The sequence below is a fragment of the Homo sapiens genome, chromosome 19 (genome assembly GCF_000001405.40).
Source record: "Homo sapiens chromosome 19, GRCh38.p14 Primary Assembly".
Lineage (NCBI taxonomy): Eukaryota > Metazoa > Chordata > Mammalia > Primates > Hominidae > Homo > Homo sapiens.
This window is the reverse complement of record NC_000019.10, coordinates 18,866,313-18,868,544: the sequence shown is the minus strand read 5'-3', so window position 1 is coordinate 18,868,544 and position 2,232 is coordinate 18,866,313. Positions and strand designations below refer to the sequence as shown.

At 59.5% G+C, this 2,232-nt stretch overlaps 1 protein-coding gene across 5 annotated transcripts in view, besides 1 other annotated feature; it reads right to left on the bottom strand.

Annotated features, from left to right (window-relative positions):
- Positions 315–2,232, bottom strand: part of UPF1 (UPF1 RNA helicase and ATPase) — a 36,272-nt gene continuing 34,354 nt past the window's right edge. For all 5 annotated transcript variants that reach the window (XM_017027105.3, NM_001297549.2, XM_017027106.3 and 2 more), the window contains exon 24: positions 315–2,024. The gene's annotated coding sequence lies outside the window, so the exon portion shown is untranslated. The remainder of the gene's footprint in view (positions 2,025–2,232) is intronic.
- Positions 1,730–1,929: a silencer, noted in NCBI's record as "silent region_10422". NCBI's record gives its function as "represses an Ori minimal core promoter by ATAC-STARR-seq in GM12878 lymphoblastoid cells {active_cell/tissue: GM12878}" and the evidence as "EXISTENCE:reporter gene assay evidence [ECO:0000049][PMID:35858748]".

Below are 2,232 nucleotides of genomic sequence, written 5' to 3'. Positions count from 1 at the left end.
CGCTGGTCTCCTTGGACTCCTTGCCTGGGTGGTGGGGAGGGCGCCCCTCAGTCTTGGTGATCGGATAGGCCTTTCCACCTCCAGGCCACCTGCCAGAGGCCTAACGCGCCACTCCGGGGAGCCGCCCGGACAGGCCCAGGTGCTGCCTACGGGAAGGGCCCAGGGGCAGGGGTCGCCCTTCAGTCCTGCAAGGCAGACCTGTCCCTTCTGGGCTTTGCCTGTCTCCCTCTGGCCTCCTTCACACCCCAACCCGTCACTCAGCCAAGGCAAAACCCCAGCACCCTCCACCCCCTGCAGTTTATCCAACCTTGGTGTGAAGTCAAAACTGTTTATTAATATTTGGTGACAAAAGAACTTAAATTGACCGAAAATCAAAAGTTACATTGCCTTGGTACAGTGCGCCTGGGTTTGTCAAGGCTGCTGCTACAAAGCTGGAGAACACAGCACAGGGCGAAGCAGAGGCAAAGCGGCCCAGCCCAACAGCCGGGATGGGGCAGGGAGCGTCCCTCAGGCCGCCGCGGGGTCACCGCGGAAACCTACCCGGTGCATGCCTCTACGCGGCCTACCGGAAGAAGGGGAAACCGAAAGCCCTAGAGCAATGGGAATAAATAAGAGTCCCTGCCAGAAGGAAGGTGGCCTGTGCGTCCCCGTCTGTCCCATGTAGAAGCCGGAATCTGGAGGTGTTCGGATCAGGGCCAGTGACAGCCCCAGGCCCGGGGCAGGGGAAGCTGGAGGCCTGGCCGCCAGGCAGAATGACACCCCAAGCCAGGCGTTCGAGGGGCTGGGGCAGCTCTCCTAAAATGACCCTCTGCCAATGACACCACACCCTCAGTCCCTTCACACAGAACGCGGTAATTTCTGTAACTTGTTTCCTTACCCCCCAGAAGCAGCAATCACCCCATCAGCAAAGTTGCCGGCAGGCAGAGCTCCCAATTTGGGCTTTCGGTGTGCAGCGCTCCGTGTCTAACCAGCACAGGGACTGTCGGTACCTCCTGGGGACGGGGACAGGGACAGGCCCTCTTGTCCTTCCACCAAATCTTCCAAAGGCCCCCGGGAAAAAGCCGTCAATCCGGGAACAGCCACCTTCTCGCCTCCTGGCCACAGGGCCAGTCCTGGCCAAGGCCCCTCGCAATGGGGCCAAAAGCACCTTCCTCACCGGTGCGGGGCCCTGCGCCGAGTCTAGGCGGGAAGCAGCTTGGCTTCTGAGTCCAGCGGAGAACGAGCAGCTTCCAGGCTCGGCGGGCGGCTACCCCAGCAGCCTGATGCCCCGCAGAAAGAAGCCACTGGAAGCTAAAACCAACAACAAAACTCCTCCGGCCGCGGCACAGGTGTTGCTCCTCTTCTCCAGTAGCGCTGGCTTGTTTAAACTGTTTCTGGAAGCTTCTCAAATCTCCCAGGTCCACCGCTAAGATTTTACAGACAAACTTAGGAAAGTATTCTTCAGTACTCCTTTAAAAGAATCTTGAAAAAAACAAAGAGAAAAACCCAAAACACCCTTATTTTCTTTAAATGAAGGCCCTCGGAGAACACAGGCAGCGCGACCTCGGCGCGTCCGGTAGGCGTGGACAGACGCGCCCTCCCGGGGCTCTGCCCCGCACGCTGCTGTCTTTGCAAGGAGCCTGCTCGGGCACAGAAATGCGAAGTTTTTTTTCCTGCTAAGACGTAGTCCCCTTTCAATCAAAGAGAAAAAGAAATAAAAGAACAGAGGAAAGGGCTACTCTGAGATGAGGGTCTTCCTCCCTCCGCCCTGGCCGCAGCCCCGATGGGACGGAGCGGGGCCTCCTGGTGGCCGCGGCTCCCGCGGGCCGGCCCCTCCTCCGCTCCCTCTGCTCCTCGCCGCCGCGGGCCAGCAGGGGGCGCTCGGCCTCGGCTCCTCTCCCTCGTGCGCTCTCCCTTCCTGTTGCTCACACAGTGGTGCTTCAGTTTTAGCAGTGGAAAACAGGTATCCGTTTATTTTTATTTTTTATTACCCAGAATAAGATGCTGATGGACTAAGCCACGTTGCTTAGCTCTTCCGCCGCCACCTGTCAGGAGGGAGAAGGGCAGGAGGCGGTGAGAGGCTGCGACCTGAGCCCCACAGGTACCCAGCACACAGGACAGTGAGGGAGAGCCCGAGCTGCCCTCCCCGACTCTGATGAGGAAACTGAGGTCCCGCGGTGGTCCCCGGAGCAGACAGGATGGGGTAGGGTGGGGTGAGGAGCCACCCTGACTAGCAGTGAAGGGCACAGGCCA